The following is a 16,212-nucleotide window of genomic DNA, read 5'->3' on the forward strand; positions in this document are numbered from 1 at the left end:
CACTAAGGCCTTTTCAAACAAAACCACCCCTTTACCCATGGAAGGGCAAAAGGCAGACCCAGTAAAGTGTAATTAGAGTGGATTTCAAATATTTCATGGAACACAAGTCATGTCTTAATGCATATATTCAATGACTATTTGGAAAAACAGCAAGTAAGAAAATAATGTGATGCCAACTTTTCATGAGTTTCTGTTGTCACCATATATAAACTCACCAATACCATATTTTTAATTATCTTCCAGGCCAAAATTATACATCAGAAGCAAAGATTAAACATGCTTATTCTAAGAGGAAAGAGAGTAGTTCTTATTTTTGTAGAAGGAGAAATGAAAGGCCATTTAATTTTGCCAACTGATATGGTTTGGGTCTGTGTTCCCACCCAAATCTCACATTGAATTGTAATCCCCAGTGTTGGAGGTGGGGCTTGGTGGGAGGTGACTGGCTTATGGGGGTGGTTTCTAATGGTTTAGTACCATCCCTCTAGTGCTGTCTCATGACAGAGTCCTCACCAGATCTGGATGTTGAAAAGTGTGAGGTACCTCCTCCCTCTGTCTCTTCCTCCTGCCCTGGCTATGAAAGATGTGCCTGCTTCCCCTTCACCTTCCACCATCATGGTAAGTTTCCTGAGGCCTCCCTAGAAGCCAGTATGCTTCCTATACAGCCTGCAGAACCGTGAGTCAATTAAACCCCTTTTCTTTATAAATTACCCAGTCTCAGTCTCAGGTATTTATCTATAGCAGTGCAAGAATACACTAATACACCAACCTTCACTGTACATTAACAGATGCAACAGAAATAGTGACTTTTTTCAGAGGAAATTCATTTGTGTGTGTGTGTGTGTGTGTGTGTGTGTGTGTGTGTAACCCAAAAGAGGAGGAGGATGAGGTCTTACTCAAAAGTTACTCAAAATTAAAGTAATATGTAGTGGCCTTAGTCATTGATATTAATTTTGTCCAGTTTCTTAACACTAGATGCATACAGAATTTTCTGAGAAGCTTTTAAGCCATCAGTGTCTGATCTTCACATCCAGAAATTCTGCTGCAATAGATTTTAGTGCCTACAATCTAGGCTTTTGTTGCTTTTTTTTCCCCCTTCATATAAAAATTTTCCCAATAATTTTCCCTTTCCATATTTTGACAAACAAGCTTAAATTTGCAATACATTGTATCCTCATACAGAGGCCAGACAGTGGAAGCTTAAACATTCACTGAGAATACCAATGAGATCTAAGAATAGGAATGAGAACAAGAATGAGAGAAGCCAAACTTCATTTTTCATCTCTAACAAAAGAGAAAAACAACAAGAACCACCTTGTCCCTACTATGAGGAGAGACTGTTCCTCCACAGAAATTACAGAGGCTTTTTAATCAGTGAGTCTAAGCAGTGGGGAAAATATCCAAATCTGAATCTGCTCTTTCTTTGACAAGTCTTGTCACTTTCAAATGAGCCTTCCTTACATCTCTTAGAGACACACGTCCTGCCACTTCTGGGTCAAGGTGGCCATTCTCCATTTTCAGATCTTCCTCAGGCTGCTTCTGGGCCTTGTCTCTGGAGGAGAGCAGGCAGCCCCAAGTCTTTAAGGGTGAGAGGCATGGGCCAGGGGTGAAGCCCAAGGAGAGGGCAACAGGGAACAGAAAATTCCTGAGAGCAGAGGCGGCATTCTCTCTCCCTCCCTGCTGGTTCCAGGGAGCCCACCTTTCTTGAGTGCATCTTCTCTTTTTACTGGCAGGCAAAAGGGAGACAGATGGTAGGAGGACATAGCCCAGCAGTGGCATCTCCACACTGGGCAAATCTGCCACTCTGTGTCCTTCAGGGGACATAGAGCCCTGGTCTCCGGGCTGCAAACAGGGCCTGGCCCTCCCAAGGCCTGGGCTCTAGGTGGCTGCTCCAAAGCAACTCGGAGCCAGACACCTCAGCAGAAACCCAGTTATATGACCTGGAAAAAAAAAAACAAACCATTTCTGAATTGGTTAAAAAACAGGGGAACAAATAGATGCCAAATTCCTGGTAGCTGGAGGTTGGTGGGAATTTGGTGTACACTGCTTTGGGTTAGGATTGGACTTGGAAACTGGGAAACTGGCCAAGCCTTTCAGGCGGGGACACAGTTCTGCTTTGAGTAAAAGGGACTGTGGAGAAATCAAAGTGGGGAAGGGGAATTTGTTGCAGAGACAGGGAACCAGGAGTCTGACAACCATCATGTTCCTGGGCACCAAAACCTCATTACTCTGCTGGGACAGACCCTCAGCTCCAGCCTATTCACAAGGCCTCTGCTCCAAGTCTGTCCTCATCATGTGCCACCTGAATTATTCCAAAGGGGCCTCCAACCTCTCACCTCACTGTGAGTCCAGCCTCTTATCCAGTAGTGCTGTCTGATAAAAATGAAACATTAAACGTTCCAGTAGTTGCATTAAATATAAAGAAACAGGAAAATAAATTTTAATACTATATTCTATTTAATCTAATGGACAAAGAATACTATCAACATGTAAGCAATAGAAAAATTATTGATGAGATATTTTACATTCCTTTTTTTTCATACTAAGTCTTCAAAATCCCATGTGTGTTTTACACATAGAGCATATCTCAATTCTCACGGGCTCCATAGTCACATGTGGCTGGCTGGGGATTGCCCTACTGAACAGCACAGGGCTGATTGGTCACAAAAATGATCTTGCAACAATGCAGAACAGATATTTTCATTTTCGTCTTAAAATGTTAAAATATATTTGCATGCTCTTTGGCACACTAATCCCAATTTTAAGAATCTATTCTTAAGAAATATTTACAAAATGCCAAAAGAAATCTGAACAAATATATTCATTATAGTTCTTACTGGAAGAGTCTGGGATCTGAAGTCAAATTGCCCACGTCTGAATCATGGCCCTGCCACTTTAATGGCTGCATGTGCTTGAGTAAATGACTAAGTGTTATCTTCCATTTCTTCATCCATAATAGATCTACCTCCGTGGGCTATTTACAAAGATTAATGAAATAATCTACATAAAATGCTTGTATGTGCTTAATAAATCTTAACTCTAATTATTGTTATCAACAGAGAAAAAGCATTACAACTGAAATGTCCAGTAATGTGAAAATGATTTACTGAATAATGGCACATTCATATGGTTTAAGCTACCTTCAAGCAGGAACTGTGTTTTATTCCCTATCACATGACACATAGCATGTGTCAGGTATATGGTGGGCACTCAGGAAGTATTGGAAGGATGAATGGCATGGAAAATCTTTAGAATGAATGCCGCTAGTGAGTGTATGCATGGAGCCTGGCAGCCCCACACCTACCAGCACCCTGCACCTTCCACCACTCCCACTGGTGTGAGTGTGGACACTGACAACCTCACCCCCACCAGCAGTCTGCTCCCACCATGCTGCCACCGCTGTCTCAATGAGCATGTGCAGGAATGCGGCAGCCCTACTCCCACTAGTGCCCAACCCTAGCTGACATGTGCACCCTGCTGCATTGCCATGGCTGCTGGCACATGCGACCAAGCACAGATCGTACTGCCATCACCCTGATGAAGTTCTCTGGCTGGTACCACCTATTGGAATATTGTGGCCAGTGGACTGGGAACACCTTGACCTCTCCAGTGTAGCAAGTTTCTAACCTCAAGGGGCCAGAAAACAAAGCTGGGGCATCAGTGCCAGCCCCTCAGAGTTACAGCACACAGGCCAGGAGTGTTGAGCCTTGGCCCCTTAAAATCTTGCATAATCATTAGACTGAACCATAGCATAACCAGTAGACTGAACCTACCATATGCCACAATCAAACCCCCAACAGCATCAAAAAAAGATAAAAGTAAGAGTTCTCATCCAAAGGATAGCAACTTCAAAGACTGAAGGAACATTAGCCCACACAAGTGAGAAAGAGCCAGTGCAAGAACTCTGGCAACTCAAAAAGCCAGAGTGTCTTCTTACCTCCACAGCAACCATGTTAGTTCCTCAGCAATGGTGCTTACCCAGGCTGAAATGGCTGAAATGGCAGAGAATTCAGAATATGGATAGGAATGAAGATTATCAAGATTCAGGAGAAAGTCAAAACCCAATCCAAGAAATCTAAGGAATACAATAAAACGACACAGGAGATAAAGGGCCATTTTAAGAAATAACCAAATCGATCTGATAGAGCTGAAAAGATCACTTTAAGAATTTCATAATACAATCACAAGTTTTAACAGCAGAATTGACCAAGCTGAGGAAAGAATCTCAGAGCTCAAAGACCAGTTCTTCAAAGTAACTCAGACAAAAATAAAGAGGAATGAACAAAACCTCTGAGAAATCAAGGATTATATAAACAGGCCAAATATTTGATTCATTGGCATCACGGAAAGAAAGGGAGAGAAAGCAAGCAACTTGAAAAACATATTTGAGGATATTGTTCATGAAAATTTCCCCAATTTCACTAGTGAGGCCAACATTCAAATGCAGAGAACCCCTGCAAGATAATACGCAAGATAACCATCCCCAAAACACATAGTCATCCATTTGCCAAGACCAAAATGAAAGAAAAAATATTAAAGGCAACTAGAGAGAAGGGGCAGGTCACCTACAAAGAGAACCCCATGAGGCTAACAGTAGACCTTTCAGCAGAAACTCTACAAGCCAGAAGAGATTGGGGGCCTATAGTCAGCATTTTTAAATAAAAGAAAGTCCAAGTAAAAATTTCATATCAATCCAAAAAAGCTTCATAAGTGAAGGAGAAATAAGATCCTTCTCAGAGAAACAAATGTTGAGGGAGTTTGTTACCACCACACCTGCCTTACAAGAGACCTTAAAAGAAACACTAAATATAGAAAAGAAAGGCTGTTACCAGCTAATACAAAAACACACTTAAACACTCAGACCAGCATCACTACAAAAGAACCACATAAACAAGCCAACATAATAACCAGCTAACAACACAATGACAGGATCAAATCCACACATATCAATACTAACCTTGAATGTAAACAGGCTAAATGTCCCCACTTAAAAGGCACAGAGTGGCAAGCTGGATAAAAAGCAAGACCCAACAGTACATGGTCTTCAAGAGACCCATCTCATATGTAATGACACCCATAGGCTCAAAATAAAGGAATGGAGGAAAAATCTACCAAGCAAATGGAAAACAGAAAAAAGCAGGGGTTGCAATCCTAATTTCAGACAAAACAGACTTCAAACCAACAAAGATAAAAAAAAGACAAAGAATGGCAATACATAATGGTGAAGGGTTCAATTCAACAAGAAGACCTAACTATCCTAAATATATATGCACCCAATGCAGGAGCACTCAAATTCATAAAGCAAGTTCTTAGAGACCTACAAACAGACATAGATGCCCACATGATAATAGTGGGAGACTTCAACACTCCACTGACAGTATTAGACAGATTATCAAGGCAGAAAATTAGCGAAGATATTCAGGACCTGAACTCAACATTGGACCAAATGGATCTGATGGACCTCTACAGAACTCTCCACCCCAAAACAACAGAATATACATTCTTCTCATCATCACATGGCACATACTCTAACACTGATGCACAATTGGCCATAGAACAATTCTCAGCAAATTAAAAAAAACAAAATCTTACCAACCACCCTCTTGGACCATGGGGCAATAAAAATAGAAATCAATACTAAGAATATGCTCAAAACCATAAAATTATATGGAAATTAAACAATCTTCGGAATGACTTTTTGTTAAACAATAAATTAAGGCAGAAATCAAGAAATGCTTTGAAACTAATTAGAATAAAGTACAACATACCAGAATCTCTGGGACACAGCTAAAGTAAGAGGGAAGTTTATAGCACTAAACGCCCACACCAAAAAGTTAGAAAGATCTCAAATTAACAACCTAACATCACACCTAGAAGAAATAGAGAGACAAGAGCAAACCAACCCCAAAGCTAGCAGAAGACCAGAAATAACCACAATCAGAGCTGAACTGAAGGAAATGGAGATGTGAAAAGTCATACAAAAGAGCAATGAATCCAGGAGTTTGTATTTTGAAAGAATAAGTAAGATCGAAAGCCACTAACTAGACTAATAAAGAAAAAAGAGAATAGAATCAAATAAACACAATCAGAAATGACAAAGGTGACATTACCACTGACCCTACAAAAATACAAAAACCTTCAGAGACTACTATGAACAATTCTATTCACAAAAACTAGAAAGCCTAGAAGAAATGGATAAATTCCTAGAAACGTACAACCTCCCAAGATTGAACCAGGAAGAAACTGAATCCCTGAACAGACCAATAACAAGTTCCAAAATTGAATCAGTAATAAAAAGCCTATCAACCAGAAGCAGCTCAGGACCAGACGGATTCATATCCAAATTCTACCAGATATATAAAGAAGAGCTAGTACCATTCCTACTGAAACTATTCTAAAAAACATAGAGGAGGAGGGAATCCTCCCTAATTCATTCTACAAGGCCAGCATCATTCTGTGCCAAAACCTGGCAGAAACACAACAAATAAAGAAAACTTCAGGCTAATATCCTTGATCAGCATAGATGCAAAAAAACTCAACAAAATACTAACAAACCAAATCCAGCAGCACATCAAAAAGCAAATCCACCCTGCTCAAGTAGGGATGCAAGGCTGGTTCCACACATATAAATATCAATAAATGTGATTTATCACATAAACAGTACTAAAAACAAAAACTACATGATTATCTCAATAGATGCAGAAAAGGCATTTGATAAAATTTAACATCCCTTCATGTTAAAAACCTTCAAGAAATTAGGCATTGAAGGAACATACCTGAAAATAATAAGAGCCATCTATGATGAACCCACAGCCAGCATCATACTGAATGGGCAAAAACTGGAAGCATTCCCCTCGAGAACTGGAACAACACAAGGATGCTTACTCTCACCACTCCTATTCAACATAGTACTGGAAGTTCTAGCCAGAGCAATCAGGCAAGAGAAGGAAATAAGATTAATAAAGAAAAAAAAAGAGAGAAAATCCAAATAAACATAATCAGAAATGACAAAGGGGACATTATCACTGACCCCACAGAAATACAAAAAAACCTCAGAGACTACTATAAACACCTCTATTCATACAACTAGAAGAAATGGATAAATTTCCAGAACCATACAACCTCTCAAGATTGAACCAAGAAGAAACTGAATCCCTGAACAGACCAATAACCTGGAGTTCTGGAACTGAATCGGTAATAAAAAGCCTGCCAGACAGAAGCAGCCCAGGACCAGATGGATTTACAGCCTCCAGACAGGAAGAGAGAAAGTCAAACTATCTGTGTTTGCAGATGATATAATTCTATACCTAGACAACCCCATAATCTTTGCCCAAAAGCTCCTAGATCTGATAAACAAATTCAGCAAAGCGTCAGGATATAAAATCAAAGAACAAAAATTGGTTGCACTACTATACACCAATAGCATCCAAGCTGAGAGCCAAATCAAGCGTACAATTCCATTCACAATAGCCACAAAAAGAATAAAATACCTAGGAATACAGCTAACCAGGAAGGTGAAAGATCTCTGCAATGAAAATTACAAAGCACTGCTCAAAGAAATCAGAGGTGACACAAACAAATGGAAAGATATTCCATGCCCATGGATAGGAAGAATCAATATTGTTAAAATGGCCATACTACCCAAAGCAATTTACAGATTCAATGCTATCCATATCAAACTGCCAATGACATTTTTTCACAGAATTAGAAAGAAAGTATTTTAAAATCCATGTGGAACCAAACAAGAGTCTGAATAGCCAACACAATTTTAAGCAAAAAGAATAAAGCTGAGGGCATCATATTACCTGACTTCAAACTACACTACAAGGCTGCAGTAGCCAAAAGAGCATGGTACTGGTACAAAACACACATACAAAGACAAATGGAACAAAATAAAGAGCCCAGAAATAATTCCAATTACCTACAACCAACTGATCATTGACAAAGTCTACAAAAACAAGCAATGTGGACAGGACTCCCTATTCAATAAATGGTGCTGTGATAACTGGCTAGCCATGTGCAGAAGATAAAACCTCTTCCTCTTACACCATACACAAAAATCAACTCAAGATTTATTAAATACTTAAATGTAAAACAAAACTGTGAGAACTCTGGAAGTTAACCTAGGAAATACCATTCTGGACATAGGCCCTGGCAACAATTTCATGATGAAGACACAAAAATTGATTGCAACAGAAAGAGAAACTGACAAATGGGACCCAATTAAACTAAAAAGGTTCTGCACAGCAAAAGAAACTAACAACAGAGTAAACAGACAACCGAACCAAATGGAAGAAAATATTTGTAACGTAACCATCCAACAAAGGTCTAATATTCAGAATCTATTAGGAACTTAAACAAATTAACAAGCAAAAAACAAACAACCCCATTAAAAAGTGGGCAAAGACATGAATGGACACTTTTCAAATGATGACATACACACAGTCAACAAGCATACACAAAAATGTTCAACATCACTAATCATTAGAGAAATGCAAATCAAAACCATAATGAGATACCATCTCACACTAGCCAGAATGGCTATTATTTAAAAGTAAAAAAATAACATGCTGGTGAGGTTGCAGAGAAAAGGGAACGCTTATATACTGCTGGTGGAAATGTAAATTACTTCAGCCACTGTGGAAAGCAGTTTGGTGATTTCTCAAAGAACTTGAAACAGAATTAGCATTTGACTCAGCAATCCCATTACTGAATATATACTCAAAGGAATATAAATCATTCTACCATAAAGACACATGCATGCGTATGTTCATTACAGCACTATTCACGATAGCAAAGACATGGAATCAGTTTAAATCCCATCAATAGTAGACTGGATAAAGAAAATGTGGTACACATACACCATGGAATACTAAACAGCCATAAAAAAGAACAGGATTATGTCCTTTGCAGCACATGGATGGAGCTGGAGGTCATTATCCCAAGTGAACTAATGCAGGAACAGAAAACCAAGTACTGTATGTTCTCACTTACAAGTGGGAGCTAAACATTGAGTACACATGGATGCAAAGAAGGGAACAACAGACATTGAGGCCTATCTGAGGGTAGAAAGTTGGTAAAGGGGAGGAGGACGGTGAAGGTCAAAAAATTACCTATCAGGTACTATGTTTATTACCTGGTGAAATAATCTATAAACCAAACCCCTACGATGCACAGTTTACCTATATAACAAACGTGCATGCATACCCTGAATCTAAAATAAAAGTTAAAAATTAGAATAAATCACTCAGGAGGTGTAATTTGAAACTACAATGAGTTATCACCTCACACCCTCTATGATGGCTACTCTCAGAAAAACCCAGAAAACAGTGTGTTGTCAAGGATGTTGTTATTAGTCCATTCTCATGCTGCTGATAAAGACATACCCAAGACTGGGCAATTTACAAAAGAAAGAGGTTTAATGAACTCACAGTTCCACATCGCTGGGGAGGCCTCAGATTCATGGCAGAAGGTGAAAGGCACATATCACATGGTGGTAGACAAGAGAAGAGAGAATGAGAGCCAAGCAAAAGCAGAAACCCCTTATAAAACCATCAAATCTCATGAGACTTATTCACTACCACAAGCACAGTATGGGGGGAATCCACCCTCATGATTCAATTATCTCCCACTGGGTCCCTCCCACAACATGTGGGAATTATGGGAGTTACAATTCAAGATGAGATTTGAGTGGGGACACAGCCAAACCATATCATTCTGTCATCACATTTCAGAACTAATCATGCCTCCCCAAAAGTCCCCCAAAGTCTTAACTCATTTCAGCCTTAACTCAGAAGTCCACAGTCCAAAGTTTCATCTAACACAAGGCAAGTCCCTTCTACCTATGAGCCTGTAAAATCAAAAGCAAGTTAATTCCTAGATACAATGAGGGTACAGTTATTGGGTAAATATACCTGTTCCAAATGGGGAAAATTGGCCAAAAAAAAAAAAAAAAAAAAGAGGCTACAGGCCCCATGCAAATCTGAAGTCCAGTGGAACAGTCAAATCTTAAAGTTCCAAAATGCTCTCCTTTGATTCCTTGTCTCACATCCAGGTCACACTGCAAGAGGTGTGTTCCCATGGTCTTGGGTAGCTCAGTCCCTGTGGCTTTGCAGGTTCCAGCCTCCCTCCTGGCCACTTTCACAGGCTGGTGTGGAGTGTCTGCAGCTTTTCCAGGCACATGGTGCAAGCTGTCGGTGGATCTACCATTCTGGGGTCTGGAAGACAGTGGACCTCTTCTCACAGCTCCACTGGCAGTGCTTCGGTGGGGACTCTGTGTGGGGGTGCCCACCCCACATTTCCCTTCCCTACTGCCCTAGCAGAGGTCCTCCATGAGTGCCCATTCCTGCAGCAAACTTCTGCCTGGACATCCAGGTGTTTTCACACATCCTCTGAAATCTAGGTGGAGGTTCCCAAACCTCAGTTCTTGAATTCTGTGCACCCATAGGCTCAACACCACATGAAATCTGCCAAGGCTTGGGGTTGCACCCTCTGAAGCAATGGCCCAAGCTCTATGTTGGCCCCTTTCAACCACAGCTAAAATGGCTGGGATGCAGGACACCAAGTCCCTAGGCTGCACACAGCACAGGGACCCTGGGTCCGGCCCACAAAACCATTTGTTCCTCATAGGCCTCTGGGCCTGTGAGAGAGGGGCTGCCTTGAAGACCTCTGACATGTCCTGGAGACATTTTCCCCATTGTTTTGGGGATTAACATTCAGCTCCTCATAACTTATGCAAATTTCTGGGCCGGGCGCAGTGGCTTACGCCTATAATCCCAGCACTTTGGGAGGCCAAGGCAGGTGGATCACAAAATCAGGAGTTCGAGACCAACCTGGCCAATATGGTGAAACCCCACCTCTACTAAAAATTAGGCAGGCATGGTGGCATGTGCCTGTAGTCCCAGCTACTCAGGAGGCTGAGGCAGGAGAATCACTTGAACCCAGGAGGCAGAGGTTACAGTGAGCTGAGATTGCACCACTGCGCTCTGGCATGGGTGTCAGAGTGAGACGTCTTTAATAAAAAAAAAAAAACAGAAAAAAAATTCTGCAGCCAGCTTTAATTTCTCCTCAGAAAATGGGATTTTCTTTTCTATTACATTGTCAGGCTGCAAATTTTCTGAACTTTTATACTCTGCTTCCCTTATAAACTAAATGCCTTTAACAGCACCCAAGTCACCTACTGAATGCCTTGCTGCATAGAAATTTCTTCCGCCAGACACCCTAAACCATCTCTCTCAAGTTGAAAGTTCCACAAATCTCTAGGGCAGGGGCAAAATGCTGCGAGTCTCTTTGCTAAAACATAACAAGAGTCACCTTTGCTCCAGTTCCCAAGTTCCTCATCTCCATCTGAGACCACCTTAGCCTGGATTTCATTGTTCATATTATTATCAGCATTTTGGTGAAAGCCATTCAACAAGTCTCCAGGAAGTTCCAAACTGTTCCACATTTTCCTGTCTTCTGAGCCCTCCAAACTCCTCCAACTTCTGTGTGTTATCCAGTTCCAAAGTAGCTTCCACATTTTTGGGTATCTTTATAGTACTGCCCCATTCCTAGTACCAGACTAATGCTATGTATTAGTCTGTTTTCACGCTGCTGATAAAGAGAAACCCAAGTCTGGGCAATTTACAAAAGAAAGAGGTTTAATGGATTCACAGTTCCATGTGGCTGAGGAGGCCTCACGATCATAGCAGAAAGTGAAAGGCACATCTCACACGGCAGCAGACAAGAGAAGAGAGAATGAGAGCCAAGTAACAGCGGAAACCCCTTCTAAAACCATCAGATCTTGTGAGACTTATTCACTACCACGAAAACAGTATGGGGGAAATTGTCTCCATGATTTAATTATCTCTCACTGGGTTCCTTTCCTAACACATGGGAATTATGGGAGCTACAATTCAAGATGAGATTTGGGTGGGGACACAGCCAAACCATATGAGATGTAGAGTAACGAGAGTCCTTGTGCACTGTTGGTGGGAACATAAAAAGTTACAGCTGCTGTGGAAAAGAGTACGGAAGTTCCTCAAAAAAAAAAAAAATGAGTGAAGCTGCCCACAGTGCGTTAATATCACAGAAAGATTGTAGAAAGATACGCATAACATGGTTGCATTTTCATCGTGGGAAAAACGATGCACTGTATGTATAAAAAGAATGTGTTTGATGATGTAACCATGAGTAAAAAACAGGAAGCATACCAAACCGTTAATGGTTCTGAATGGGTAGGCTTGCAACATTCCTTTGTGGTTATTTACATGCCTGTCTTGTCCCATCTATCTGTCAAGCTCCATTGGCTTGTCTTACTCATCCTTTTTTCCCCTCTTAACGCAGCACTGGTTCTTGGGCATGTGAGGGTTTGGTAAAGTTTTGCAGAATTGAATTGCTAATCATTGCCTCCCCACTTGCTCACCTATACTACAAACCAGAACTTGTTCAACGTCATACGGCTACCTTTAAATATTCTTGTTTTAAGTCTAAGTTCCAAAATATTATATTAGTAAATATGCTGACTTCCCTATACTGCACTCCTCAAGACTTAATGCACAGAAATCCTTAGTAAGTGGGAAGAAACAAAAGATTTGAACAGTAAAAATGCTGCAGGAATCCAGCACTGTTTGAAGGTTGCCTTTCTCCGAAGGTTACTGTTCAGAAAGAGAGGAGAGAGAGACCAACGTATCTCCCTGTACCTTGAAAGCCATTCTCCTCCAAGACATCTGTCAAGAGTTTCTGTCCATGTGGGTTATGGAAATGGTGTTAACTCGTGCAGAATTTTAATTACCTGTCTCAGGGGCCAAATGTATTTATGTATGTATCCATGTCATGATTATTTATTCATTCAATGAATGTTCAGAATCCTACAATATACCAGCTGTAATGCCTCATCATGAAATGTAAAACTGAAGAAAGCGGGGTTCTATTCTCAACGAGGGAGCCTCTGCCCTCACTTTTCTTTTTCATCACTTGAGCACCAATACCGAGCAGCCTCGTCTGTTTTTTTTTGCTTGTTTGTTTCCCCCCTGACATAGCATAAACTTAACTCTAGACGATTGTGTAGGATTGCTGCTGGAGTCCTGGATGCTAGTCTTTTATTTTATTTTTTAGTGACACTCACTCACTTTGTGTCCTAAAGCAAGCCCAGTTCCGTCTCTGTGCCTTGGTCTCGCCTCAGACAAATGGGGTATCCATTTGCCCTGCCAAACTCTAAGGGGTATTGTGAGGGCCAGACAGGGCAACAGATGCTGAAAGCATTTGAAATGAACAGAGCTGTGTAGAAGTGTCAGGCAGTACTCTTCCTGTGCCCCGGGTCACCGTAACTTGAAGAGCATCTGGACATATGTCAGAGAAAATAAAAACTGTTTTTGTTTCTCAGTGAAAATACCTGCCTTTTGAGACTTTCATTTAAAATGAAAACATTCCAAAGTAGTATGTGATCTTGAACAAGTCATTTTCCTCTCTGAGTCTCAGTTTATTCTCCTATAAAATAAGCCAGTGAGACTAGATGGATACATTTCAAATTCTGCTCTAGAAAATTCTTCACTGGGAAGAGATTCTTTTATCCCCACATCTGCAACCAGAACCACCATATATTTTTCAAATTTTACCCTCATTTTACTTATTTGGCTTCTATGTGAGGTCTTTTTGGTTTTCTTTTTCTTTTAAAGTGAAAGTAAGTTTATTAACAAAGTAAGAAAATAAAAGAATGGCTACTCCATAGTCAGGGCAGTGGCTTCTGTTTTGTTTTGTTGTTTTTCCTAAATAAAAATCCTAAGGCTAAAACAAAAAAAGAAAACCAGAACACGGCTAGATCACCTGTAGGGCCATTCTTCCCGGCCTTCGTGTCTGCACACGGAAGACCCACGTGCTTTCTGCTTAACGTGTGTGCATTCCTCTTGTATGTGTCAGGCGTGCACGAGGCCTCTCAGGACAGAATTCCTTTGCAGGGGGATTGACAATGAGTCATAACCTGCTTGACTTTTAAGTGTGCACTCAGAGATGACCATTTTTTATAGCAGAATTCCCGAGTCTAAACAACCTTTGGCAGCTGAAGACTGAGAATGAAATTCACCAACCAGTCCAGGGAAAACCTCTTCCAAAAGCTGTAATATTTTTGTTGGATGCAGGTGTGACCCGTGGTCTTGCCGTGGGGGAAGGGAATGGCTGTGGGAACAGTGCCACCTTGTGGCCATTTTTATGAGCAGACACTACCCAGTGCTGAGCTGAGGGCTGGTTCCTGGATGGTTACACTCCTGAAGAGGGACTTTCATTTTGGGATTGGGAAGGGGCCCAGAGATACACTGAGACCAGAGCCAGTCCCCACCTGGCAGCAAGCTCAGCTGCCTGAGTCAGAAGCCCTTCTCCAAAGTTACCACACTCCTGAGGCCCAGGAAGGCTGCCAGGCTGGGCGTGTGGTTATTGGGAGGGTCATGTGGCTGTCACTAGCAGGAACGTGTCTGGATATGGGAGTGGGAGGCAGAGTCTGAGAGGAGACAGAACAAATTTCACAATGGCCATGGCTGAGCCCCAGTTGGGAAGACGGTGACCCAGGAAGTATGCAAAGTGGTGGCAGGAGGGTGGTGTCCTCTTGTCTAGAAACCCAGGAGGCCTACAAAGCAGAGAGGACTCTACCTGTCCCCTCACCCCTGACCGTAGCCTGGGGCCTAAATGAGCCCTCCTACTCTCCGCCTTGCTGCCACGCCACCATCCCTGGCACAGGGTTCCTGGGAGGACAAAACGAGATGGATGAGGCTTAACACAGCATCTGGTGCGTGGGAAGCCCTCAGACATCCCTGTGCCTGTCCCCTCCCTCTCCTACTCTGTGCACTAGACATTGGAGTGACAACAATGAACCCAGCACAGCTGCTGTCAGAACTCACAGGCTGGCTGGGCGTGATGGTGCACACCTGTAATCCCAGGACTTTGGGAGGCTGAGATGGGAGGATCGCTTCGGTCTGGGAGTTGGAGACTAGCTTAGGTAACATATGGAGATTCCGTTGTTACAAAAGATAAAAAACAATCAGCCAGGTGTGGTGGCACGCTCCTATAGGTTCAGCTACTCAGGAAGCTAAGGTAGTGATCACTTGAGCCCAGGAAGATGAGGCTGCAGTGAGCTGTGATCACACAACTGCACTCCAACCTGGGTGACGGAGTGAGACCCTGTCTCAAAAAAATAAAAAATAAGAAGGACAGGTGTGGTGGCTCATGCCTGTAATCCCAGCACTTTGGGAGGCTGAAGTGGGAAGATTATTTGGAGTCAGGAGTCCAAGACTAGCCTAGGCAACTTAACAAGACCCTGTCTCCACAAAAAAATATAAAAATTAGCCAGGCATGGTGGTGTGCCCTGTAGTCCCAGCTACTCAGGAGGCTGAGGTGGAGGATTGCTGGAGCCCAGGAGTTCAAGACTGCAGTGAGCCATGATTATGCCACTGCACTCCAGCCTAGGGGACAGAGTGAGACCCTGTCTCAAAAAAAAAAAAAAAAAAAAAGGTAAAAAGAAACACCATAAAAATAAATTTAATAATAATACATTTAATAAGATATATCCAATATCTTGTCATTTTAAAATGTAATTAAAATAAAATTCAGTAATTAAAATTCATCAACTTCCCTAAGAGCTGGAAAATTAATGAAATATTTTATATTCTTGTTTTCTATGCTGCTTGAAATTCTGTGTGTATTTTACACCCACAGCACATCTCAATTTGGACTCACCACATTTCAAGCCCTAAATAGCCACATGTGGCTAGTGGCTACTGCACGGCACAGCACAGGGCTGGTGCAAGGAAAGGCGCTCACACACATATACACAATACACACACATACACAAATACACACACACACACATATCCACACACATACAAACACACACATGCACATACACACACATGCACACACACACACAAACATATATACACACACACATATACACACCCAGAGGTCAGTAAGTTACTGGTCAGTAACTTTATAAGGGGCACAAAGTTGATGGGTGATATGGTTGGGCTCTCTGTCCCCACCCAAATCTCATCTAGAATTGTAATCCCCACGTGTGGAGGAAGGGACTTGGTAGGAGGTGATTGGATCATGGGGGCTGTTTTCCCCCTTGCCATTCTAGTGATAGTGAGTTCTCATGAGATCTAATGGTTTAAAAGCGTGTGGTAGATTCCCTTGCTCTCTGTCCTGCCACCATGTGAAGAAGGTCCTTGCTTCCTCTTCGCCTTCCGCCAT

The 16,212-nt window shown here is 41.7% G+C and overlaps 1 long non-coding RNA gene across 1 annotated transcript in view; it reads left to right on the forward strand.

The window, feature by feature from the left end:
- The first annotated feature begins 617 nt into the window (after positions 1 to 617).
- Positions 618 to 16,212, forward strand: part of LINC02547 (long intergenic non-protein coding RNA 2547) — a 30,911-nt gene continuing 15,316 nt past the window's right edge. Inside the window, exon 1 of the long non-coding RNA NR_135109.1 lies at positions 618 to 673. This is a non-coding gene — a long non-coding RNA (long intergenic non-protein coding RNA 2547). The remainder of the gene's footprint in view (positions 674 to 16,212) is intronic.

The sequence above is a fragment of the Homo sapiens genome, chromosome 11 (assembly GCF_000001405.40).
Source record: "Homo sapiens chromosome 11, GRCh38.p14 Primary Assembly".
In the NCBI taxonomy this organism is placed as follows: domain Eukaryota; kingdom Metazoa; phylum Chordata; class Mammalia; order Primates; family Hominidae; genus Homo; species Homo sapiens.